This window comes from Homo sapiens, chromosome 16 (genome assembly GCF_000001405.40).
Source record: "Homo sapiens chromosome 16, GRCh38.p14 Primary Assembly".
Classification (NCBI taxonomy): Eukaryota; Metazoa; Chordata; class Mammalia; order Primates; family Hominidae; genus Homo; species Homo sapiens.
The window spans coordinates 70,749,990-70,773,694 of record NC_000016.10 but is presented as its reverse complement, the minus strand read 5'-3'; the positions used below and the strand labels follow the sequence as shown (position 1 = coordinate 70,773,694).

Sequence of the window (23,705 nt, the reverse complement as noted above, 5' to 3'; positions counted from 1 at the left end):
TCTTTACTCTTTTTGCAACTTTTCTGTACATCTAAAATTATTTCACAACTACAAAAAATTAGTATCAGGAGTCTGGAATTTTTTCCTATAGCACCTCCCACCCCAAGCACTGCAGGACTGCCAGCCCCCTCTTCCCTCCTCAGTGCAGTGAGAGCTGTGGCCAGTGCCTAGACGGGGACTGAAGGCGGAACAGGATCCTACCAGCAGCTTTCCAGATCTAGAACATCTTGGCTCTTTAGGAAACTTGATTAGATGCCAAAAGAAAAAGGTTGGAATTTAAAGGTTATTCCTTAACTGAGAAAAATAAGTAGTCGATGCCAGGTAGATGCTTTTCTACCCTGGGTTATATGATGGTAAGTTAAATACTAAGACAGGTATTGAGTTGGCCACTTGGAGGAAGACTCGGGCACAGACACAGTGCAGTCACAGTCCTTTCCCCAAAGTCATTTTTTAAGCCCTTTATTGAGATAGAATTCATGTACCACACAATTCACCCAACATCAAGTGTACAATTCAGTGACTTTGTAGATTCACAGGGTTATGTAACCATCACCACAATCAATTTTAGAATATTTTCCGTGCCCTTGAAAGAATCCATTAGCCATTATACCCTATTCCCCCGTCTCCTCCAGTCCTAGGCAACCTCCAGTCCATTTTCCGTCTCCATAGGTTTGCCTGTTCTAAACACTTTCGAGAAAGGGATACAATATGTAGTCTTTTATGACTGGCTTCTTTCACTTAACACAATGTTTTTAAAGTTCATTTTTATGGCGTGCATCAGTACTTCATCCCTTTTTATTGCCAAATAATAGTCCATTGTATGGCTATACCACACCTCATTTATCCATTCATCTGTTGATAGATATTTGGGTTGCTTCTGCTTTTTGGCTATTGTAGATAATGCTGATGTGAACATGATTGATATACAAGGTTTCATGTGGCCATAAGTTTTCATTTCTCTTTGGCATATACCTAGGAGTGGAGCTGCTGAGTCATGTGGTGACTATGTTTAGCCTTTGGAGGAATGGCCAGACTGTTCTCCAAAGCAGCTTGCACCATTTTACATTCCCACCAGCAATGTACGAGGGTTCCAGTTTCTCCACATTCTCATCAACACTTGCTATTATTTGTCTTTTATTTTAGCCATCCTGATGGGTGTACAGTAGTATCTTGTGGTTTGGATTTGCATTTTCCTGATAGCTAAGGATGCTGGGTATTATCTGTCATTTTAAACATCCATTCCCCTCAGGCCAGTGATCCCTTCTGAGATTTGACAGATGTGTTTAGCACTGGTGTCCCCTCCTTGTGAGATCACTGTGACTACAGACTTACAAGCTTGGGGACTATCGAGAATGACTGGGCGTTGGTTGGGTCCTCAGGGCTCCAGAGCCATGGTCCTTTTGAAGAGCCTGAATCAAGGTATGGGGCTCTGGAGAGTTCTGTGTGTGCTTGTCACAGGGGTCTTGTTTATTCAAGAGAGCCAACAGCCTTTCATGACCCCTTGTTCCTCTTCCTCTCCCAGGAGGTCCAGATGGTTCCTGTGACTCCAGCTTCAGTAGCGGCATCAGTGTCTTCACTGCAGCCAGGTAAGTGGCTTGTTTCAGCCAGAAGGTTTGTGGAAAGCGAGCGGCCTAGATCTTTCCTGGATGCGGGAGACTACAGCAATGACCCAAGGCAAATTCTACTCGCGGCTGCTGCTTTTGGGACACCCTCGTACACAAAAGAGTTAATTGATGAAGGAATCTGAAGGACACTGAGCAAGCCCACCCCACCCAGGCTTGATGGATAGATAGGGCGGATTAGAAGCCACTGGGGGCCAGACATGGTGGCTTATGCCTCTAATCCCAGCACTTGGGGAGGCCAAGGCAGGCACATCGCTTGAGCTCAGGAGTTTAAGACCAGTCTGGGCAACATGGCGAGACCCTGTTTTTACTGAAAATACAAAAAATTATCTGGGCCTGGTGGCGTGTGCCTGTAGTCCCAGCTACTTGGGGAGGCTGAGGTGGGAGGATCACTTGAGCCAGAGGTTGAAGTGAGCTGAGATCACACCACTGCACTCTAGCCTGGATAACAGAGTGAGACCATGTCTTAAAAAAAAAAAAAAGGAATGAAAGAAAATGGATTGTTCTTACTTATTTTTAAATATTAAAAAAAAATTAAGCTATTGGAGGTCAGTAAACGCAAGTTATAATAATAAAAGTACAGCTAATACATGGTGACTGCAGTGAGACACAGTTGCCTTGACTCATCGCTGTCTGTTTGTCCAGGATGATGGGGGGCCAACAAGACCCACAAGGGGAAGTCTGTTCAAGGACAGCCTGAGCATGGGCAGTCATTAATCATGTCCAAGATTAAGGATAAATCACCGGCCCCAGGAGCTGTTGTCTCCTGTGCGCCCAGGTCAGCTGTAATGGCGCAGTCTTCCACATGGGGGCAGTGCAGACCAGGCAGCAAAATAATTCTCTTCCTTGGGGCTCCCTCCATACTCCCTGCAAGGTGAAGGGACTCCCCGCGGAAGGTACTGTAACGGTTCTGCCCTGGTCTGAGTCCCCTGGACTTGCCCCATGTCACTTTTTCTTTGGGTGACCTTGGCATCTCTGGGGCTAGAGTGGATGGTGGGTCTCATACAGGGGTTTCTTTCCCCTGAACTTGACAGTGAACCTGGGCCCTGGGAGAGCCAATCACTCATGAAGAGAAAGTGTGCACTCTACCCCAAGAGGCTCTTCCCCCCAGACCCCTAGCTAGGGTTCTTCCCTCATCGATGTCATTTGTGAACTTATCCTCATCCCTCAGCACCCTGAGCATGTTTTCCAAGCACGCAGGTGCAGCCGTTTATGAAATGTACCACTAGGAGTCCCCTACGTTGATGGAGGAGATCAGCGAATGTTGCCATTCTCTCCTTTTCACATAGCTGCCACGCGTTCCAGTGCACCTGCCTGTGCTCACCCCTGTAGGCTCCAAGATAAGAGCTGGCCCCTGAATGTGTCCCTGACCTTCATTCATTTACTCCAGTGGTGAGGCAGAGAAGTAGCCAGGAAGTTACTGGAAAGAGGAGTGATTGATGTGAGGGGTGAAGTTACCAGAAAGGGAGGGCCATGGTGCCTGAGCCCAGGCAATGAGAAGACTGGCTGGGAATAACAGCTAATGCCAGTCAACATAGCCAGGCTTCCAGGGCCCCAGCGCAGTGCTAAACCTTTACGTCGGATCCTTCAGCTTTGTCTGAGTCTCGTGGGGTCAGTAGTATTACTTTCATGGCAGGGACGAGAAGGGAGGAAGAACGGGGCTGCTCTGTGGACAGTGGATCTAGGAGGGGCCCGGTGGATGCAGACCCGCTAGGGAGCTGTCACCGTTGTCCCCATCAGAGGGGATGGGGGCTCAGGCTGGGGAGGAGCAGCATGTGGAGAAAGTTGGGTGGGTTTGAGCTCTGTGTTGAGAACCACAGGACTCACTGATGGGTGGGATGGGGTAGGCAGGAGAGAGGTGAGGGAAAGACTGCCTTCTAGAAATTTGGTGTGAGCCAGACCCCCGCTATCCTAGTGTCATTTGCACACCAGGGCTGGAAGGAGGAGCAGGTGTGGGTGGGGTGGTCAAGAGCTCGTTCCAGGTGGCTCTGAGCATCCCAGGAGAAAGGGGGAGGCAGACTCAGGTACTGGGTCCTGGAACTCGGGGAACGGTCTGGACAGACATGCGAGGACTTGTGTATCCTGCAGAGGGCTTAGCTTTTGCGCTGGAGGCTGTGGAGACAGTGTCACAAGTGGGAATGGCAGGATCTGATCTGGGATTTAAAAGCCTCCCTCTGGCAGCCAAAAGCCTGTTGTAGACTTGTCTCTGTAATCTGGGCTATGGGGATTGAGGGGGAGGTCGGGGAGGTCTAGGAGAAGGCAGAGGTAGGCTTAAGCCATGGGCTGCAGAGGGGCACCGCTGTCCGCTGCCTCGCTGGGGAGACTGTGCTACTGTCGGCTGGGATGAGCCTACAGGAGCCCTCAGTTCTTGTGCCAAGGCCAGGAAGTGCTAGACTGGACGAGGGTTTTGGTTTATACTTGTCATTCAGGAGCCAATGCCAAATCCTACCTAAAATCCAAACCATCCTACCTAAAAAACCAAACAAGAACAAATGATCTAGTGCTTCCTGACTTTTGGTGACAGAGATCCCCACGTGGCAGCTGCACAGTCAGTGTCACCAGCTGTGCTCAAGAGCTGGGCACCTTCAGAGTTGTAAAACCAGAGCCAACATGCCCGGGCTCCAGCCCACCACCTTCTTCCCACAGCGGGTATTGACACAGTGAGACTGAGCTTGGACACGGGTGGGATCGTGCAGAGTTGCCAGGTAGCCAGACCCACCCTGTGATTCTTCAGCTGCGCCGCTTGCCCAAGGCACCACGTGAGGCCACCAGTTTCACTCAGTTCAGGTCTGCCCAGGGTGGTGGCCAGACTGGAGACTCCTCCCACGGCAGAAAGGCATTCCCACCTGGCTGGAAACTGCCATGGTGGTGGCAGTCCTGTGCCTCTGAGTGGCCATTGACCCTTGGAGAGCCTGATGAAAGCTATGGACCCTCTTCCAAAAAAAATGCACATCCACAGCTGGGCACGGTGGCTCACGCTTATAATCCCAGCATTTTGGGAGGCCAAGGCAGGTGGATCACCTGAGGTCAGGAGTTCGAGATCAGCCTGGCCAACATGGTGAAACCCCATCTCTACTAAAAATAAAAATTAAAAAAAAAAAAAAAATAGCCAGGCGTGGTGGCACTTACCTGTACTCCTAGCTACTTGGGAGGCTGAAGCAGGAGAATTGCTTGAACCTGGGAGGCGGAGGTTTCAGTGAGCCGAGATCGCGCCACTGCACTCTAGCCTGGGTGACAGAGCGAGACTCTGTCACACACACACCAAAAAAATGCACATCCACATGAAATTCTGAATTCACTTTCAGGGGTTCAAGGATCACCATGGAAGCAATCCTTGCATCCCAGATTTTTTATGAAAGATTTCTCACTTGGACCGAAACACAGGGAGAATTAACTGACTAAACCTGAGAGCAGAAGCTGTCTTCCCCCTCCCTCATCTCCCCTCTTCCTGCGATACTCGGGAAGCCCCTGGTGGCCCCAGGCTTAGCCATGGAAGAATGCCACCTGGAAAAGCAGCAGGTGGTGAGGTGGCTGTAGGTCTGGGTTCCTCCACCCTCCAGAGCATGGGAAATACATGGGAGGTGGAAAATTGGACTCCCCAGGGAGAGGTGGAACGTGAAGGAACCCGGTTGGAGGAAGCATGCTTGCCAGCTGAGGAAAGGGTTAAGAGAGAAATGTCTCCACTGGGTGTGTTCTCTCTCGTGACTGCTCTGCCTGGTGGAGCCAACTGCCTGGATTCATGCCCTAACTCCAGCATGCCTGGCTGTGGCCTTGGTCAAGTAGCGTGATTTCCCCCGCCTCAGTTTCCTCATCTTTAAACTCAGTATAATGATAGTACTGACCTCAAAGGGATATGGGGCTTCAGTGAGTTAAAGTATGTAAAGAACAGCCAGGCACAGTGGCTCACGCCTGTAGTCCCAGCACTTTGGGAGGCCAAGGCAGGCTGGTTGCTTGAGCCCAGGAGTTAGAGACCAGTCCAGGGCAACATGGTGAAAACCTGTTTCTACAAAACATACAAAAATGAGCTGGGTGTGGTGGCACATTCCTGTAGTTCCCACTGCTTAGGAGGCTGAGTTGGAAGGATCAGTTGAGCCCCGGAGCTTGAGGGTGCAGTGAGTCATGATTGTACCACTGCACTCCAGCCTGGGTGACAGAGCAAGACCCTGTCTCAATAATAATAATAATAATTTTTAAAAGCTTTTTAAGTATGTAAAGAACATAGCATGGTGCCTGGGCCGCAGAAAGCACTTTACACACTTTAGCTACAATTGTTATTACAAGAACCTTGTTATTATCCCCATCTTACAAATGAGGAAACAGACCCAGAGAGGTTAACTTCTTGCCCAGAGTCACTCAACTAATTAGTAGCCAAGCTGGAATTCAAGCTAGATCTGTCTGACTCCAGAGCCCGTGCATTTAACTTTATTAGTTGCAGTTGGAGAGTTCCACTTTTGCAGTTGGCCTCCCTAACTCATTTGATTTAGGAGTTCTCAAACAGGTGTTGTATGAAGTCCCCACTATGAGGCTCAGGCTGTTGCCAAGGGTCATGATGTCTTCAGTGACACCAGCTCTCCTGGTGTAGCTAGCTGCCCTGTAAATAAGCAGGCAGAAAGTTCTAGAAATCAGTATTTCCCAGCTTGTAGCCTCTGCTGATTGAAAAAATTTATAATTATCTGTATTTTAAAGAGCAAGTTCAATTTCAGAAGCAATTCTATTTTTAGATTTACCTTTCTTCTGATTTGATTAGAGATGTAACCCGAACACTGTAAAAAGTTAGACGTTACAGAAATGAAGTGCTGTCTCCCTGAGAGAACAACTGGAACTTATTATTATTTATTGGTAATATCAGAAGCATTATTCAGTAAATCTATATTTTAATAGTCACAGCAGCGCCATGCATTTGGAAACTGTAGTACGCGTATGTGTAAGACATTCATTATAAGATGCTTTATGAGAAAATGCTCCATGAAAATGGAATTTTGCAGACACCTTGAAATAACTCAGAAGCCCCCAGGAGTGACTCGTCTAGACTTTTTGGAACTGATGCAGAAATGTATTTTAAACTGAGTGAGCTCCCTCTGTTCTTGATGGGTAAGGTAAGCCACGACAGCAGGGTGCTACCTCTCAGGCTCCGGCCCAGCAGCTGGGGAACTGAGCACATCATGCAGTGTGCCCTCTAGGAAGAGTGCAGGGTCCCAGAGCCCCAGTTCCCCTGCTGAGCATGTGCAGAGCTCAGCAGCAGCAGCCAACCCTGCCCAGCAGAGCAGCTGGGAGCCGACAGCAGCTGGGATCTTGACCCTCCCTTTCCTAGGCACTAAGATCAGTCTGCCTGGTCCTCTAGGGTCCACCTGCTTCCCATGACCTCCACCTCCAGCCAGGCAAGGGAAGAAAAGCCCAGGGAGAGTGTCTCCAGCCCAGGGAATGACTGCTTGGTACATGGCCTCATGGTCTCAGATGGGTCCCGTACTGCCTCTGGACCTGGGCTTGCTCATCCGTACCTTGAAGGATTGTGTTACCTGAACCATGAGGTTCCTTTTAGTGATGAGGTTCTGGGTTGAGTGCGGCAGGACCGCCTCAGTAGCAGCCTGAAGATGCCCTATACCTTCAGGTTCGCTGTGTTCAGGTGTTTGCTGTGGAGAAAGTTGGAGAATGTTAATACACGAAATGCTGCCAGTTCACATACCAGCTCCGTGATATGCTGCCGTTCTTTGGCCCTGACACAGCACCACTTGCAGGAGAGGCCCCACAGGCTGGCCAGCAGCATCTTAGGGCCACTGTGAGCCACAGAGCTCAGCTTGCCGAGGGGCCAACCAGCCTGACATCTTGGCCCTTTTGGATTCTTAGTGCACTGGTGGGGAGCACCAGGCTTCCCCCGTGTCCTCTGCCTCCCCTTGTTTTTCTTTTTTTTTTTTTTTTCTTTTGGGACAGGGTCTTGCTCTGTCACCCAGGCTGGAGTACAGTGACACAGTCATAGCTCACCATAGGTGAGCTGACAGCTGGGAGCTGGCAGCAGCTGGGATCTTATAATCCTCCCACTTCAGCCTCCCGAGTGGCTGGGACCATAGGAATGTACCACCACACCCAGCTAATTTTTTAAATTTTTCACAGAGACAGGGTCTTGCTGTGTTGCCCAAGCTGGTCTCAAACTCATGGCCTCAAATCATCCGCCTGCCTCGGCCTCCCAAAGTGCTGGGATTTCAGGTGTGAGCCACTGTCTACCCTTCTCATACAAAATTACACTGAAAAATGTGTGCTAACCTCCTTCCACGGACACCTGGAGCTGCCAGGTATCCCCTGGGTGCAGAGGGGCTGGTCCACACTGGAGCTGCCGTTCTGCTGCCCCTCCCAGGATACAGTGGAGGCGATGCCACCAGGGACTCTCTCTGAGCCTGCTGCCCTGGTCAGGAGGCTGTGCCGTGTGGCGGGTGAGATTATTCTGGAGTCAGACTGATCAGATCCAAAGTGCGGCCCCACCATTCCCTGGCCGTGTAATCTTGGCCAGGTGACTTCCTATCTGTGTGCTTCAGTTCCCTCTTCCCCGAAATGGAAGTGGCATGCTTTAGGCCATAGGGCTTTTTAAGGAGTGACTTGAGGCTGTGTAGGAAAGCGCCCAGGAGAGCTTTCACTTTTCACAGCCATCATGGCTGCCATTGTTATCAGAGCTGTTATTCCCCCCAGGGGCTCAGACACACCACTGATCCTGCCCCATGCCAGTGGAGTAGGGGACCTGGTCACGGCACCGCCCTCCTCCTCACCAGCAGCTCCAGAGCAGTTCCAAGGATCCCAGGGAAACAAGGAAAAACAAGGCCTTCCTCCCAGGGGGTACTGTTTCAGCCAAGCTTGTCACAGTGATTTGCCAGGCACGGGGTCCTCGTGACACCCTGGACCCTGGCAGCCTACATGTCCCTGTGGCTTCTGCTGGAAAGGGGCTCACTACAGACTTTGGGGCTCACAGGGTCAGGAAAGACCAGGTTGGGGTGGGGGTGGCTTCTGTTCACCTGCTTTGCATAAGGCCTTGGGCTGTAGGGCGGCATCTCTTCCACCACCAGGACATGAGCTTCTCTAGCCAGGGGATTCTTCCAGCCCAAAAAGTGTGTGGAACAGAACGCAAGGGAAGGAGCTCTGCAGGACGGGAAAAAGAGGGAATGGGAGATAAAACAGTAAATGCTGGCCGTCAGCTAAGGGAGTGGCTAGGAAACTGCCAGAGATGACAAGGAAACACTCAGAAAGTCCTGGCGTGGACTGTTGTGTGGGCCTCCGCGGCAGCCACGTGGCTACTGAGTGCCTGTTGGCTACTCTGAACCGAGGTGCACCGTAACGGTGAAATGCACACCAGGTCCCAAAGGCTTAGGACACAAAAGAGAATAGATTTTGTTGGGAATGTTTACATTCACTGTTATATTGATTACATGTTGAGATGCTAATATTTTAGATACATTGGGTCAATTAAAACAGCATTGAAATTCATTTCACCTGTTTCTCCTTTTTAATTGAAAACTGGAAGATGTAAAATTATATCTGTGACTTGCGTTGTATTTCTGCGGGACAGTGGACTTGAGAGAAACTGATTAAGAGATTGACGGGGCCAGTGTTTACCGCCCTAGACTCCTCTACCTGCACAGTACTGTCCCCGTCTGTCTCAGGCTAGCAAAGATTTAAGTGTTTCGATATCCTCAGAAGACACCAGGAACTTCCAGCCACGTGACCACTAGGGATATCACAGTGGCCACCCGCCCAGAGACTCAGTTCCAGGCTCTGTGGCTGTATCACATGCCCGGAGCTCCTGGCCACCAGAGGATAGATGTGCCCACTCTTGCCCCTGAAATGTGCACCATGGGGATCATCAAACCATATTAAATAGCAATTCCTCTCAGCAATTACAGAGCGCAGAATCATGCCCTTTAGGGATTCACATCAAATGAGCTTCAGAGAGGCTGCAGGCGAGTGAGGAAAGCACAGCCATCAGTTCCTGATGCAAATGAATAATTGAGCAGCCTAGAAATGCCACGAAGAGACGGTTTTATACCGGCAGGGGACTGATCTGCTGGCCCAGGTCCTTAGAAAATGCAACCCCTGGCCTGCACCTGTCGGCACCATTTGGGAAGTACAGTGTAGTGCCTCGGTAGGAAGGGAGCCCCTCCCCAATATCCCGAGGTTTTTCTACCCATGCTGCCCCCACCTTGAAAACCCAGCCTGTGCCAGGGAGCAGTGCTTTGGGCAAAAAACCAACTCAAGCCTCCCAGCAGCACCCGCTGTCCCGCAGGCTGCTTAGCAGAACTTTGGGGACCCGCAGGACTTCAGTCCACAGAAGCCAGGGGGCTTCCTGTGCCCACCAGAACAAAAGTACCTCCTGAACAATATCCGTTTCTCATAGGCAGAGGCTGTGTTTACCCCTTCCCCAACTCAAAGGAGCGCATTTTGGTCTTAACTCTCAAGGGTGTCTCTCCTAGGCCAAATGTGCTGAGTGCCCTGGTGCAGTGGCAAGGCACAATGACAAGCCTCGATCCCTGACCTCACTTGAGAAACATCCTTCAGATGGCCGGTGAAGGGCCTGGCGGAGGTCAACAGTTGTTATCGGGACCTTCCCTCATACAGTCCAGACCTGGTGGTTTTGTTTTTCCAAGAAAGGGTCTGAACTTAATGCCTTGAGCCTGGTCAGGTCAGCTCAGTGACTGGGAGAGGGTTTCTCCTCCTGTGCAAGCCAGGCTGGTGCTGGAGAAAGAAAAGGAAAAGTGAGTGGGAGCCCAGCAGACTGGTCCTCATCCCCCAAAACATGGTTATCATGGTTCCAGCCCAGCAGCAAGCTCCAAACTTCTTTGGAAAGGGAGAGAGAGAAGCCCCCTTCAAACCCCTGGGCTGGGCTGAGCTGGGATGGTGGGAGACCAGCAAGGATGTGTGGGATCAGGTTATCCCTGACCCCCGATCCCCCTAGACGGTGGTTAGCAGTGTGTGACTCAGGATGTGCAGGCCCAGGGTGGTGCCATGACTCCATGGGAGAGGGCTATGGTGGGCTTCACCTCTGCTCTCCCTCCCGATCTTACCCACAGCACTGAAAGAGCCCCAGTGACCCTTCACCTCGACGGGATCGTGCAGGTCCTAAACTGCCACCTCAGTGACACGGCCATTGGGATGATGACCAGGATTGCAGTTCTCAAGTGGCTCTACCACCTCTACATCAAAACTCCTCGGAAGGTGAGCCCTGGGCCCCTCCAAGCCAGGGGCCTCTTCTGGGTCCGCCTTGGTTTTCCAGGGCCTGCCCATAGTTGGTAGCATTTTGGTCATTGCCCTTCTAGGGAAACCCTGGCCGGCAGAGAAGTGACAGGTGCTGCGAGGAGCCCTCATTGTGTCGGGGAGGGAAGTGGTCCGTGCAGACCAGTGGGTCCGTGCACACCAGCGGGACACTGCACTGCACGTAGTCCCGGGGCGAAGGGAGCACTCACGGGCACCCCTGCTTCTCTGCCCTCCAGATGTTCCGGCACACGGACAGCCTCTTTCCCATCCTACTGCAGACGTTATCGGATGAATCGGATGAGGTAGGTCACCAACGCCACCCGTACTTATGGAACATCGGCTGCCCTGCCTCCCCTTGTTAGTGACTGAGATATGCTTATTTTGGTACAGTGCATCCTTCCTAGAGGTAAAGCTGTGTTTAATACTCACTTTGGGGCCAGGTGCAGTGGCTCACACCTGTTTTTCCAGCACTCTGGGAGGCCAAGGTGGGTGGATCACTTGAGGCCAGGAGTTCGAGACTAGCCTGGCCAACATGGTGAAACTCCGTCTCTACTCAAAATACAAAAATTAGCCGGGCGTGGTGGTGCACGCCTGTACTCCCAGCTGCTCAGGAGGTTGAGGTGGGAGAATTGCTTGAACCCAGGAGGCAGAGGTTGCAGTGAGCAGAGATCGTGCCACTGCACTCCAGCTTGGGCGACAGAGTGAGACCCTGTCTCAAAAAAACAAAAACAAAAAAAAAAACTCACTTTAGGAGTGAGGACTCTTCTGTAGTCCCTTCTGGAGCAGCTGGGGCAGAGTGTCAGTAAGGGAGGCAGCACAGGACAGGCGGGGAGCTTGGCTTGGAGTGAGGCTGCCCAAAGGCAAGACACTTAGTATCTCTGCATCTCAGCATCTCAGTTTTCCTCTGTTCAATGAGGGCAGTAACCATAGGGGGATGTGAGAGGGAAATGATCCATGTAAAATGCTAAGCACTGGGCCGGGCCCCTGCTGCACGCTCAGTTAGCGTTGGTTGTGTTACTCATTTCAGCTGGACTCCATTATGACCTCTAGTTTGAAATTGGACCCTTAAGCTTTGCCTTTTTGGGGCCACCAAGAGCTGCTGGTGCAGAGGGAGAGGCTGACCCAGATCCCAGGCAGCAGGAGTGAGCCCTCTGAGAGAGCTGGAGTACAGAGGCTGGCCTGGGAGGTGGAGGGGGCCCCTGGCTCTTCCTGTCATCTGGGCAGGAGTCTGCCCCAGCCACACACACCTTTCCACACTCCATTCTCAGCCATGCCCATTGCGTGGTGTTCCTTTACCGGGTTCCCCTGCCTCCCAGCCAAGCGGCAGGGTTTGCAGCTGCGCGTGCCCATTGCACGGCAGCATCCCATCCCTCCATCCATACCAGCTCTTCAGGCTGCATCTCAGATGCTGACGGTCCAAGCTGAGCCTCAGCCCACTTTCCTCTTCTGAGCGCCAAGGCACTGTGAGCTGTAGGCAGAGCTGTATCTCCATGAGGCAGCCAGCTCGTGAATCAACAGACCTGCCCACACTGCAGAGAGTGGATGAGGCTGGGTGGGGGGGATGGGAGAGGGCTATTGCTCACCAGTCCCCATGGAGTGAGGCTCCTCAGTCTTCCCTGGGCTGGTGCCAGGCTTGTGGGGGGCCCGGGCAGCTGTCCTGCAGCCTGAATTTGCTTTCCCGAACCTGGGCTGAAGAGAGAAATGGACAGGCAGGTATCAACCTCTAGGTCCTCTGAGGTTTTCTGTATTACCAGAAAAATCCAAAACAGATGGTCTGTGAGTATGCCCTTGGCCTCTCCTGCCTACCCCCCGCCCCCCCATGCACACACACACACACACACACACACACACACACACACACACACACACACACACACACCCTCTCTTCGTGCACCACCCCCTGCAGCGCGAGGCCCAGGTGGACTTGGCCCCGTTCTGCCTGCGAGTTGGGAGTGACTCACTGCACAGTCACAGCCCTCATTTCAATACAAAAAAGAAGAGCAGAACTTTGCTGATTGGTTCCTTCCCTAGGACTTCACTGGAAGCAGCTGAGTTTTCAGTCCTTTAAACTGAGTTGTTTAATCCCATCCAGCTTTCTGTGCTTGAAATTGGTTTTTGTGTGTGCGCATTGAAAGGGAGCAGGCGGAGATGCAGTCCATTAAACAGCGCTGTTCAGGCTGTGGCTGTGGAAACTCGATTTGCTGAAGTGCCAAATGTTGTCAGGGTTTTGGGGCACGTCTTGTGGGCCTGCACTGGGGAGGGTGTGGAAACTGCTCTGGGGGACAGTTGAGGGGTACCATAACAGCAGTGAAGAGCCTCTGCTTCCCCTTCTGTCTAGAGGAGGGATTTGGGGACCTTCATCATTAGTGATGAGTCCTGATCTTACCCCATCCGGTTGCTTTCCAGAATCACATTCCTAAGTGTCCCCTGCTTAATCTTTGGTGAGCCTGAGGGTGTGCTGTGTACTTGGCAATGGGAAAACAACCATGAACAAGACAAAGCCCATCTTCTCCTGAAACTTCCTTTCTAGGATATCTAGAAAGTGCCCTCTCAGGATTTTTCAAGTATTTCCAAACAGCCCTGATCTCGAATTGGAGCTCCCTGGGATTCAAGACTATGAAAGCTTGTTAGGTTAAGCAGGAACACAGCCAGACAGGCAGGTCCTCTCCTACCAAAGTCCTCACTCATGGAAGTTAACCTCAGTGCTCGCTGCGAAGGCTCTCACTTCCAGCTAGGCAGCCCCGCGGCACAGGTTGTCGTGGAAGATTCTTAACTGTAGGAAGTCATTACCATGGGAGGAATCGCGCTAGACCCTTCACTTGTGTCTGTAGAACCCTCACGACGGTTCTCTGCGGGGAGTCGTCTTACTTCCATTTTGCATTTCTAAAAACTATGGCCTGAGGAGGTCACATGACCTGCACACAGCTAGGAGGTGGTAGAGCCCAAACCCAGAGCCAGATCTGTTTGGCACTAAAGCCTGGGCCCTTAATCGCTTCCTCACCAGGCCTGAGTCTCACCCAGCATGCTCCCAGCCCATGTCAGCAGCAGGAGGCGAGCTTGTGTGTGGTTGTATCTTCCTCCTCATTTCCTCATGATTTCACCAGGGGAAGGTTTTGTGGTCTTGTTCCAGAAGTTCTTGAGCGTGGAGAGTATGGAGAGGTGTATGTGTTTTTTGTTGTTTTTGTGGGTTTTTTGTTTTTGTTTGTTTGTTTTTTTGACATGGAATCTCACTCTCGCCCAGGCTAGAGTGCGGTGATGTGATGTCGGCTCACTGCAACCTCCACCTCCGGGGTTCAAGCAGTCCTCCTGCCTCAGCCTCCCAAGTATCTGGGATTACAGGCATGTACCACCACACCTGACTAACTTTTTGCATTTTTAGTAGAGACGGGCTTTCACCACGTTGGCCAGGCTGGTCTTGAACTCCTGACCTCAAGTGATCTGCCTGCCTTGGCCTCCCGAAGTGCTGGGATTACAGGCATGAGCCACCATGCCCAGCTGGTATGTGTACTTTGAAAAAGCTCCCCCTTCAGCCCCCAGATCCTTCGTCCACTTTTCTTATTGATCTGTAGCAGCTCTTTGTATATTTGGGACATTCACTTTGTCATCTGTGTTGCAAATGTCTTGCTCTCCCAGGATGGTTGTGATAAACCCACATGCTCCTCCCTCTCGCTGAGAGCCACTGCTCGCAGGGGACAGTGTGCTCAGGTGTTGGTGATGCAAGAGCTGGCGCAGCAGAGCCTCAGAGACCCAGCTCTGCTGCCACCACCATCTCTGTCAGTCCCACGGGTGCGTGGCCTCGCTGGGGTGTCTCGTCTGCCATTGTTCCTCAGTTCCACCGAGTGACACCTCGTTAGTCTCCACCCTCTGGCATCCTCAGTTGTCTCTGCCTTCCCATTATTCAAGATAAGTGGCTGTTTCCTCAGCACCACCTGCTCCTTGCAGACGTTATCTGAAAATTCCTTTTGTCAAAAAGAATTTGCAGGTGTCAAATTAATATTCCTGGCACTGGAGTAGAAATCCTCCCATAGCTAGAGATCTGATTGTTTTTTAAGTGAAAATGTGACCCTGATTTCCACAGTGCAGAATGCAGGGTGCGTGCTCACTGCATCCTGCTGGGTCCCTGTTTGGGAGGTGAGACTGCTGCTTCCCCTGCCCAGAAGATGCCAGTTGTTGGCTGCCTGGCAGCTGGGCAGCCGCCATGCTGCCTGAGTGAGTTCTGCCTGTAAGATGGCCATACCCCCACCTGTGAGTATCCACGGGATGGGGGCCCTCTCCATGGTCCCGATGGTGGGACCTCAGGTAGTCCACAACTCCTAGGCACAGCTGCCTCCCAGCCTGCTTTTGGAACTCTCAGGGTGATCACAGTCTCCAGAAAATCCTGGAAGGATGTCTATTCCCCTGTGAGTGAACGTGAACATCCCAGACAGGTGGCCATGACCCTGGCTTGAATCCTAGCTCTAAACCTTCCTTACCGGGGACCCTGGCCAAGGAGTTTACCCTCCCTGGGCCTGTGAAAAGGGGATAATGATGTCTACACCAGCCTCATAGGCGTGTTTAAAGAGAAAGCGTAACCCCCTCACCCAGACCCTGGCCCATTATAATGACCTGTCTGTCGTTACAAGTATGTTGGGGGAACTTGGCGTCTCACTGTGGTGAACTCCCCCACCCAGGAGCCAGGCTCTTTCTCAGTCCTGTGAGCCATCTTGATGTCCTTCAGTAATGCTTTAGAGTCTTTTTTTGTAGGTTTTATTCACTTATGATGAGTACTCTCAGTGTTTTGTAATTTTGATGTGATTCTGAATGACTTCCCTCTCTGGTTCTTCCTTCTCTACCCAGGTGACACTGAGGCCTGGTGGTTAAGAGCACGGGCTTTGGGTTCAGGAAGTCTAGGAGTCCACCTTGGGCTCTGCCACTTGATGGTTGGTAACCTAGCCTCTCTGAGCTTTAGGTTCCTTATTTGTAAACAGAAAATAATAGTGGAAGCTTGCTCCCAGGTTTGTTATAAGGATGAAATGAGATCATGAATGTCAAATGCTCCCCTTGGGACCCAGCACACATAAACCCACGATAAGCAGTAGCTCCTCCGATGCAGGAGGTCATTTCTGTAAAGGGCCTGGAGATGCACATTGAGATCAGGGCAATGGGCTCTGCATCTGCTCCGGGTCCTCCCTGCTTCTGCTTCAGCAGCAAAACCCAGGACAGAAGCTGCTCTCTGTTTTCCTGCCTGTCTCTAGAGGCCGGAGGACCTCAGGGGTGTTTGAGGGACTTGAGTTCCATTTTGAGGTCATAGAAAGGCAGACAAGGACACAGTGGGCCACAGGACTGGCCTTCTGTGCATTTGTCTCCCCTCCCGTCTTCCCTTCTCCAGCCTCCCCAGCACTCCTGGGCTGAGGCTGCCCAGAGCAGGAGCAAGGCTGCATTCAGCATGAGCTCTACTCATTAGAGCCCCATTGTCAGCAGGTTCACAGCGCCACTTCCCCGACTCGCAGGCGGAAGGGCTCCAGCTGGCCGCCCTGAGTCCAGGGAGAGGAAGAGAAATGGCGTCGTCAGCAGAGGACCTGCATTGGAGCCTCCACAGCCACAAAAGCAAAACCTTTGAGATCGAGAAGGCAAGCCCTGCTGGGCTCAGTCACCAGCATGAACTGTTTTCTTTGCAGTTGGGCCTACAGAGAAAGTGTCCCCAGAGTCTTCCCAGCATCTCAGAGCCGGGGCGTCCTTAACACTTTGGAGAAGAGTCTCAACCCAGGAGGAACTCCTCTCTTCCCCCTCCCGTAGCTTCAGAGTAACAGAAAAATTGCTGATGGGAGTTTGTGGCTTTTGTGACTGGTGTAGATGCAAAGAAAAGAAATGAGAACCACCTTTCTGGAAAAATTGGAAAGTAGGATTCCGAGGACAGTATTCATGGCAGTGGTAACGTTTCTAGTTTGGGAACCCACTCACTGCATGAAGAACATGGGCCACCCATCACACCCACTGTGGCACGGCCATGACTCAGGAGGAAAGGATGGTAGGGGGCAAGGTCTAGGGAGTGGTGTAAGGGCATCTGAAAAGGAGCTTTTGTTGTAAGTTTCGTAAGGTACACCATGGGTACAGCGATGTACCCGGTCCAAGGTGGCCCGGTGCCTCCCCAACCCAGTGGTACCTGGGTTGAGGACAGGTAGCAGAAGTGCCTGACCCATGGGGTAGAACCCCAAGGGCTGTCCCAGCCTCTGCTGAGTCCTGAGGGGAGAGGAATGGGGCGCCTTGAGGGGCTCTTCACTGGTGGCAGATGCCCTATCCAGCCCTCCTTGGTCTTGGGCCTCTCAGCCCCTCACCAGCAGGGTAGGCGCTGGGAAGCACCCCCTGCCATGCCCTAGACTGTATTTTAAGGTGCGATTTGCTTTGGTAGGGGAGGAAGGGGAGAGTTCATTTGTTTTCATGGTGCAGGTCCCAGGAGAAATGGATCGGAAAAACTCAGGAGGTTCAGAGATCTGAAAGGAGAGCACTCACTGGGGCCAGGCCGAGTTGCCAGAAAGAGAAGCAGATCGGGGCTTGCCTAGGAGCCCAGAGGAACGGCCCAACTTGGGCTGGCAGTGCCACTGCTGCTGCCACGCCTGCCTGGAGCCTCAGCCCAGCCCAGAGCAGAGCAGAGCAGAGCTGGGGTGAGGCTGCCTGGCTTCCTGCCTCAGGGCAGAAGCAGCCCTGTGTATCACCCCAGCGTGCCCCTTTCCTTCTCCAGCCTCATGCCATCCGGTCCACAGATGTACTCCCTTACCTTATCCTTCCCAAGCAGTCCTTGTCACCGTGGTCAGGTGGGTTGGCCAGCTGGGTCCCAGGGCTCATCTGCCTGCTTTAAAGGGATTTAATTCTTGATGACACGGACTTTGGCCTGGGGTCCCACCTGGGGGAAGCCCCAAACCCCCGAGCTGTGCTGTGAGGAATGGTGGGAGGAAGCAGAGTGCCCCTAGGTTCCCAGGTGGCTGGGGCTGCTCTCTCCCGTCCCCCAAAGAGAGGAGCTGTTACTGCCATCCCTCAGTGTCTACCCCAAAATGGGGGCTTCCACTAAAGTAGAGGCCCCTTCATTTGAGGGCAGCTTAGAGAGCCAATGACGGCCCCTCCACCACCCCCGCTGCAGCTTTCTTTAGGAACCGTGGTGGGTCATGTGTCAACCCCTCGTATCAGTGGGAGGAGACTAGGAGGAGGAGAGGGCCCCAGCTGAAGTCTGCGGGGCTTGTGCCCCATTCTGAGTGCATTGCATCTGTGTCTTAATGAATCCACATGGTGGTCCAGGAGTGATCTTAGTTACCCCGAGGTGTGAGGAGGATCACTTGCCTAAGGTCACACTGTCAGCCAGAATTGACAGTCAAATCTGTCTGATTCCAGAGCATCTAAAACCTCACACAAGGTGTCACCTCACTGCAGAGCAGGGACCCGGCCCAGGGTGGAGGCACTGCCTTATCCAGGCCCAGGCCCTCCGCTGACCCCATAGGGTTTTGTCCTTGGCTGACCTTCAGTTCTAAATGCACCTTCTCCCTCTGTGCATTTAACTTTGACCTCATTCTCCTGCACCTTCCTTCCCAGGCCCCATGGGCTGTCCCTGGCTGCTCACTGACCTGGTGGCCCCTAGCCCCCCTCCAGGGCTCAGTCCAGAAGCCCTCTCCATCTTCCACCTGGCTGACCTTCTCCCAGAAGCGCTGAGGCCGGTGGCCAGGCCTGCTGCAGGGTGGTGTAGAAGCCGCCTGGGTGCAGATCAGGAGGGCCAGCCTCTGCCCCCACGCTGCCCGGCTCTCCACGGGACCAGGCAGGTCACATGACACCGCCTCACCTCGGTTTTCTTCCCAGGGTACTGGGGTTGGACTGGATGGTCTGAGATCCCTTCCAGCCCTGAATCTGTGTGGTCCTGACTCCACTCCCTGGAATACTAATGCTGCCTGCTCAGAAGCGGACAGTCTTCCATAAGAACAGTACTTGTTTTTCCTCCTCAGATTCTTGCCTCAGTGTTCACTTCCCTCCAATTTTCATTCCATCCACTCTCCAAAACAAACAAAAACACCCCTCCACCCCCACCTCAATTCCACAGATATCTTTAAAATCAGATCACGCAGTAAGATACGGCCTCAGCCCAGAGAATGGAGGGGTGCCGTGTCGGTGCCCAAAGAACTTGACTCCTCTTGCAAGAGCCCAGCCTGCAGGGGAGAGGAGCTGGGTGGGCACTGATGGCCCGGGGACCCTCTTCCTGAGGCACCCTCCCCTGGCCCTGCCGTGGGCAGGGGACACTGCCCTCTGTCCCCTCTCCCCGCGGCTGTCCCTGCAGCTTCTTTTGGGGGCTTCTGAGAACAAGTGAGAGGGAGTCATGTGCCAGGGAGAAGGGCCACCGCCAGCCAGCAAAGCAGCTAGACTCCAGCCACGGCCCTGAGCCTTCCTCCTCGGGGACAGCTAGGTCCCAGGCCCAGCAGAGGTACCAGCAGCCACTGCTGGGGGTTCAGAGAGGACTGTGGTCTTCTAAAATGAGGCTTGGCGGCAAATCGTTGCTAGGGAAGAGAGGGGAATGGCAAGGTAACAGTCCCAGAACTGTACCCACTGAGAGGGCCTCTACCCACCCCTCATTCTTCCAGATGTTCCCACCTTGTGGTGTCAGTGCCCACAGCAGCCACCCCAGAGCACAGGGGGACCCAGAGTAACTGCGGCCAGCCTTGCCACCTCCTTGCAGGGAAGACAGGACTGTGTGCCAGGAGGGTTTGAGTATTTACCTCTCCATGTTCCTTGCCCTGGGCAGATGGACCAGTGAGGACCCAGAGCTGGGCACAGTAACTGGTATGAATGGATTGGGGGCCAGGAGGGTGCTGCCTAGCTCCTGGTGAAGGCAGAGGTTGGGCTGAGAAGCATGGTGGAAAGGGAGGCGGCTCTCCCAGCGGCAGGGCCTCTGGGGTAGGAGGAACCCCACAAAGAGGAGCCAGCCCAGCCAGCCTTTCCCTGAGGCAGGAATGGGCGCTCTCACTCACACCTCCTAGAGCCAAGCTGCAGGGCGAGTTGCCTGCAGGACTGAGCACACTATCCAGCCCCGGCTCAAGCCACACAGCAGAGCCATCTAAACCAGGACTGTCACCAGAATTCCCTGGAGCTTTTAAAATCCAGCTGCTTGGGCCTCACTCCCGGCCTTCCTCAGTCGTCCCTCAAGCAGAGCCCGGGTGCCCAGGGGCTGGTATTTTTCACATGCTTCCCAGTGGGTTTGGTGCACATCTCTGGGAGCACAGATACAGACCAGCGTGAGATCTTGCTTAGAGACTGTAGGCCATATACCCCCAGCTCTCAGCCCTGGTGCCCTCTCCATGCAGCCCTAGGCGAGGCAGCCAAGCCAGGGCCCCCGGTTTTCACCCCACTTAGCGTTCCTGCGTCCTCAGAAGCCAAAATTTCTTGCAAGTCATGTGTTGATTTTTCCTCCTCTGGAGATGGCCAAGGCTGAATCAGCTGGATTTCCCAGGCACCTCCCTGTTGGCAAGTCACAAGGCCCACAGACTGGCAGGAGCTTGGGTGAGCCTGGGTGAGCCCAGGTGAGCCCAGAGATGTAGAGGACTGGGACCGTCCCCCCACTGCTAATGAGACCCACCATTTTCACACTGGCTTGCTCTGTTCCACACCCTGTGCTCTGCCCCTTGTGAGTGATCTTAGTTCATCTTCACGATCAGACAACCCTGTGAGGGTAGGTTCTGTCATTTTCCCCATTTCCCCTAAGAGGAAACTGGAGAAGTTAAGTAACTTGGGCCAGATCTCACTTATATGCTCCATGAAGCCTTGTTTATCTGTCCATCTGTCTGACACACACACACACACACACACACACACACACACACCCCCTCCTCCTGCACATCAAGGCTGGGCCAGGTTCCCTCTGTGTCTTTATGTCCCCCCGTCCACTCAGACCCTCTCCTAGCTCTAATCCCTCTCCATCGTGGCCTGTTAGCTGGGAGTTCTGTGAGGACAGTCCATTCAGCCCACAGTAGGTGCTCAGAAGCGTCCTCTGAGAAAGTGAACAAATAGAGGAGTTTGGTTGGATGAGGAGCTCATCTCCTTGGACGTGCCCCACATCTGGGGCCTGTCCTGCTGCATTGGGCCCTCCCACAGCAGATTGGAAGCGAGGCCTATGGGGTAGAGCCTGCATCCTTCGCTCGGGGACTGTGCGTAGCTTGCAAGTAAACCACAATGAAGCGGGGCCCTGGAGGGAGGCAGGAGCCTTCTCCTGGCTGCCGTGGCCCCTAGGCTTATCTCCTGGTGACAGAGCCATAGCGGGTATGAGTGGGCACCACTCTCGTGCTGCTCTCAGTGCAGCAGGCACCACCCCGTTCCCTGCCCAGCTCATGGAGAGAATTTATAACCCTGAGAGTGTACCCTCTGGGTCAGGGCCCAGGATGGTGCAAGTGAGCAATGGCTGGAATCAGCTGGAAGGAGGGGAGACCTTGGAATGGGTGGGAGAGAAGACGGAGGTCAGGGATCTGGTCTCAAAGGTGTCTTACCTGAGGCTGGCCTTTCTTTTCTCCTTTACCCTAAGAGGAATGGCCGCTAGAGTGTTCTCAGCTGCCAGACCCAGTGCTGGCACTAATGGTGCTGTCACTGTTAATCAGTGGAACCTAACAGTCAGCGTTAGGCGCTGGCCTCTGGCATATGTGGCACAGTGCTGGACACTGAAGGAAAGGTGGCAAAATGTTTAAACACAGAATGCTGTCCTCATCCCCCAGGGTTTGTGTTCAAAGTCACGCAACACAAACTAAGATTTATGATTTTTTTTTAGGTTGCTTTTGGTTTACTAAGACAAAACGTTTTCTATCAAGGCAGTTTTCTCAATGGGAAATAAAATGGGTCTAGGCCTAAGTAGTGCTCCTTTCCCACCACCAAAGCTAAGCGTTCTTTTAGGCAACACTTTCCTTCCTTGTTGCAGAAGGCAGGGCTGCTGTGACCCCGTGCAGACCAGGGCGTTTCTCAGGATGCCACCCCTTTCCCAGGCCAGGGCCAGGGCCCGATTGCTGCCTTCTGCAGCTCATGTTTACTTTGTGTCCAGGGCGGAGGCCTCTGGCCCCGGTGCCAGCTGGTGCCAATGCCTTCTTCCATGCTCTCAGCAGTGGAAGCCCTACTGTCCTTCCCATGGCTCCCCCAGGGGACCCTTCCTGGGTACAGCAGCCCGGCTTCCTAGGGTGTGCTCTCTGGCTAATGCCCCTAAACCAGGGCAACAAGAGCCATTCCATATGTGGTCAGGGACTGAAGAGGCTTGGCCAGCCAGGCTGCACCCCTCACGAAGGAAGGGGCCAGGCTCCTGCTTGGAGGGGAGCAGAAGACCCCAAGGTTTTCCAGGAATACCTGCCCTCGGGGCCTGTGTACTTCACATCAGCTCCACCTCAGAAGAAGTAGCTGCTGGACCTGACCCAGATTTCAGGCAAGGCCCTGCGACCTGACCGCTCCAGGCAGAGGCATCAGATAGCCTTTGGCAGTGGCCTGCACTGGCCAGACCTCAGCTTCCAAGGCCTTTAGCCTGAGTTCACCTCTCCCCGCCAGTACCAAGTGTGTCCGTTGGAAACATTCTTGCAGCTTCTTCCTGGCCAGGCCTGGAGAGGGCCCAGCTTGGGGATTTCCTGTCAACACAAGAAGGGTTCCCTCTTCAGTAGCTAGAAGGCTGAGTCAGTTGACTCCTAGGGCTCATCAGCCGACCAATGGCCTGTGTGAACGTTTGACCAAGTTTCTTAAGGATAAGTGGGTAGAGTGAAGTGGGCGGCCTCTCCGTCCATCCTCCTTGGCAGGAGCTGCTCAGAGCCATCCATCTTCCATTTCCTGTCCAACGCTGCAGGTCAGCAAGTATTTATTCAGTTGAGACTGAGTGCCTCGCCCTGGGACTTTATGTTCGGGAATCTTGGTGGGAGGTGAGAACGAGCCTCCCAGCCTCGACACTTGACCTTGCAAATCTGGTGTCCAGTCCCCAGCTGTTCCCAGGATGGTAAAGGAGCTGCCGCGGCACCCTGGGGAGAGTGAGAGCTGGGAGCTTTCCACACCGAGGTCTCCTAGGGCTGGTCTGGGACCAGGTGTTGGGACAGTGAGGGCCTGGATGGACCAGTCAGAGAAGAGAAGGAGCAGCCACCATCCCAGAGAGACTAGACTTCACCTGCTAGAATGCACTGGGGCGACAGCCTGTGGTGGCCCCACCCAGACACTCACCCTCCTCCCACATTGAAATATGCCCTTTGCTGGTGTAAAGTCACCACCGTGGAAGGCAAAAAGCCCTCTCCCCTCGCCCTGAGCACCCCCTCCAGAGCTGCTTTGTGAGATGCTGCCCACACCCAGGTGCCACCAACCCTGACCCTTTCACTCCACCAATGGCCAGCTCACTCCACTCCGAAACCAGGGGCCAGCTGATGGGCCTTCCCCACCCCCGCCTGTCACCATGGTAACGGCAGGCGCTCCTGCTCCTGCAGAATATTGCTTTCTTGTCCTTCCTCCCTCCCTCTCTTTCCTCCCTTCTTTCTCTCACACAAAAAGAAAGCACAAGTGTTTTATATTCATTTTGCAAAAAAGCTGTGTAGCGCATACTAATTGGTGTGGCTTCCTCCCGCTTTCTTTGAGCCTTTTCTCATCGTCAGAGCCAGGACTACAGGCCCAGCCAGCCTGCTCACTGGAAGGAGGACTAGGTCTGTTTTCCTGGAAGCTGAGGCAGGAGTGGCCTAGAAGCGTGTCTTTAGCTCTCGGGCCTTTCCTCCAGGCCTTGAGAGGGGCTCACAGTAAGCCAGGCCACTGAGATCGCCTTCTCCTCCAGAGGTTTCTACCTATACACCAAGGGTTGCAGGGTCTCCAGGTGGCTAGAGCACCAAAACTCTGGCCCAGCACAGAGGCTCA

General features: G+C 53.2%; 1 protein-coding gene and 1 long non-coding RNA gene across 6 annotated transcripts in view, besides 3 other annotated features; one reads left to right on the top strand and one right to left on the bottom strand.

The window, feature by feature from the left end:
- VAC14 (VAC14 component of PIKFYVE complex) overlaps positions 1-23,705 on the top strand; it is a 113,720-nt gene that overhangs the window by 27,464 nt on the left and 62,551 nt on the right. For all 5 annotated transcript variants that reach the window (NM_001351157.2, NM_018052.5, XM_005256038.5 and 2 more), the window contains 3 exons: positions 1,523-1,586; positions 10,670-10,814; positions 11,090-11,155. In NM_001351157.2, the coding sequence (NP_001338086.1) occupies positions 1,523-1,586; positions 10,670-10,814; positions 11,090-11,155 (275 nt within the window). The remainder of the gene's footprint in view (positions 1-1,522; positions 1,587-10,669; positions 10,815-11,089; positions 11,156-23,705) is intronic.
- VAC14-AS1 (VAC14 antisense RNA 1) lies at positions 444-18,600 on the bottom strand. Its single transcript, NR_034083.3, has 6 exons — positions 18,446-18,600; positions 17,608-17,682; positions 12,437-12,542; positions 7,139-7,252; positions 4,752-4,849; positions 444-2,087 (listed from the first exon to the last, which is right to left on the bottom strand). It is a non-coding gene; the product is annotated as a VAC14 antisense RNA 1 (long non-coding RNA).
- Positions 17,802-18,442: an enhancer, noted in NCBI's record as "H3K4me1 hESC enhancer chr16:70789156-70789796 (GRCh37/hg19 assembly coordinates)". NCBI's record gives its function as "activates a minimal SCP1, AML or CMV promoter by ChIP-STARR-seq in primed H9 embryonic stem cells {active_cell/tissue: H9 hESC(primed)}" and the evidence as "EXISTENCE:reporter gene assay evidence [ECO:0000049][PMID:30033119]".
- Positions 18,443-19,083: an enhancer, noted in NCBI's record as "H3K4me1 hESC enhancer chr16:70788515-70789155 (GRCh37/hg19 assembly coordinates)". NCBI's record gives its function as "activates a minimal SCP1, AML or CMV promoter by ChIP-STARR-seq in primed H9 embryonic stem cells {active_cell/tissue: H9 hESC(primed)}" and the evidence as "EXISTENCE:reporter gene assay evidence [ECO:0000049][PMID:30033119]".
- Positions 22,292-22,971: an enhancer, noted in NCBI's record as "H3K27ac-H3K4me1 hESC enhancer chr16:70784627-70785306 (GRCh37/hg19 assembly coordinates)". NCBI's record gives its function as "activates a minimal SCP1, AML or CMV promoter by ChIP-STARR-seq in naive H9 embryonic stem cells {active_cell/tissue: H9 hESC(naive)}" and the evidence as "EXISTENCE:reporter gene assay evidence [ECO:0000049][PMID:30033119]".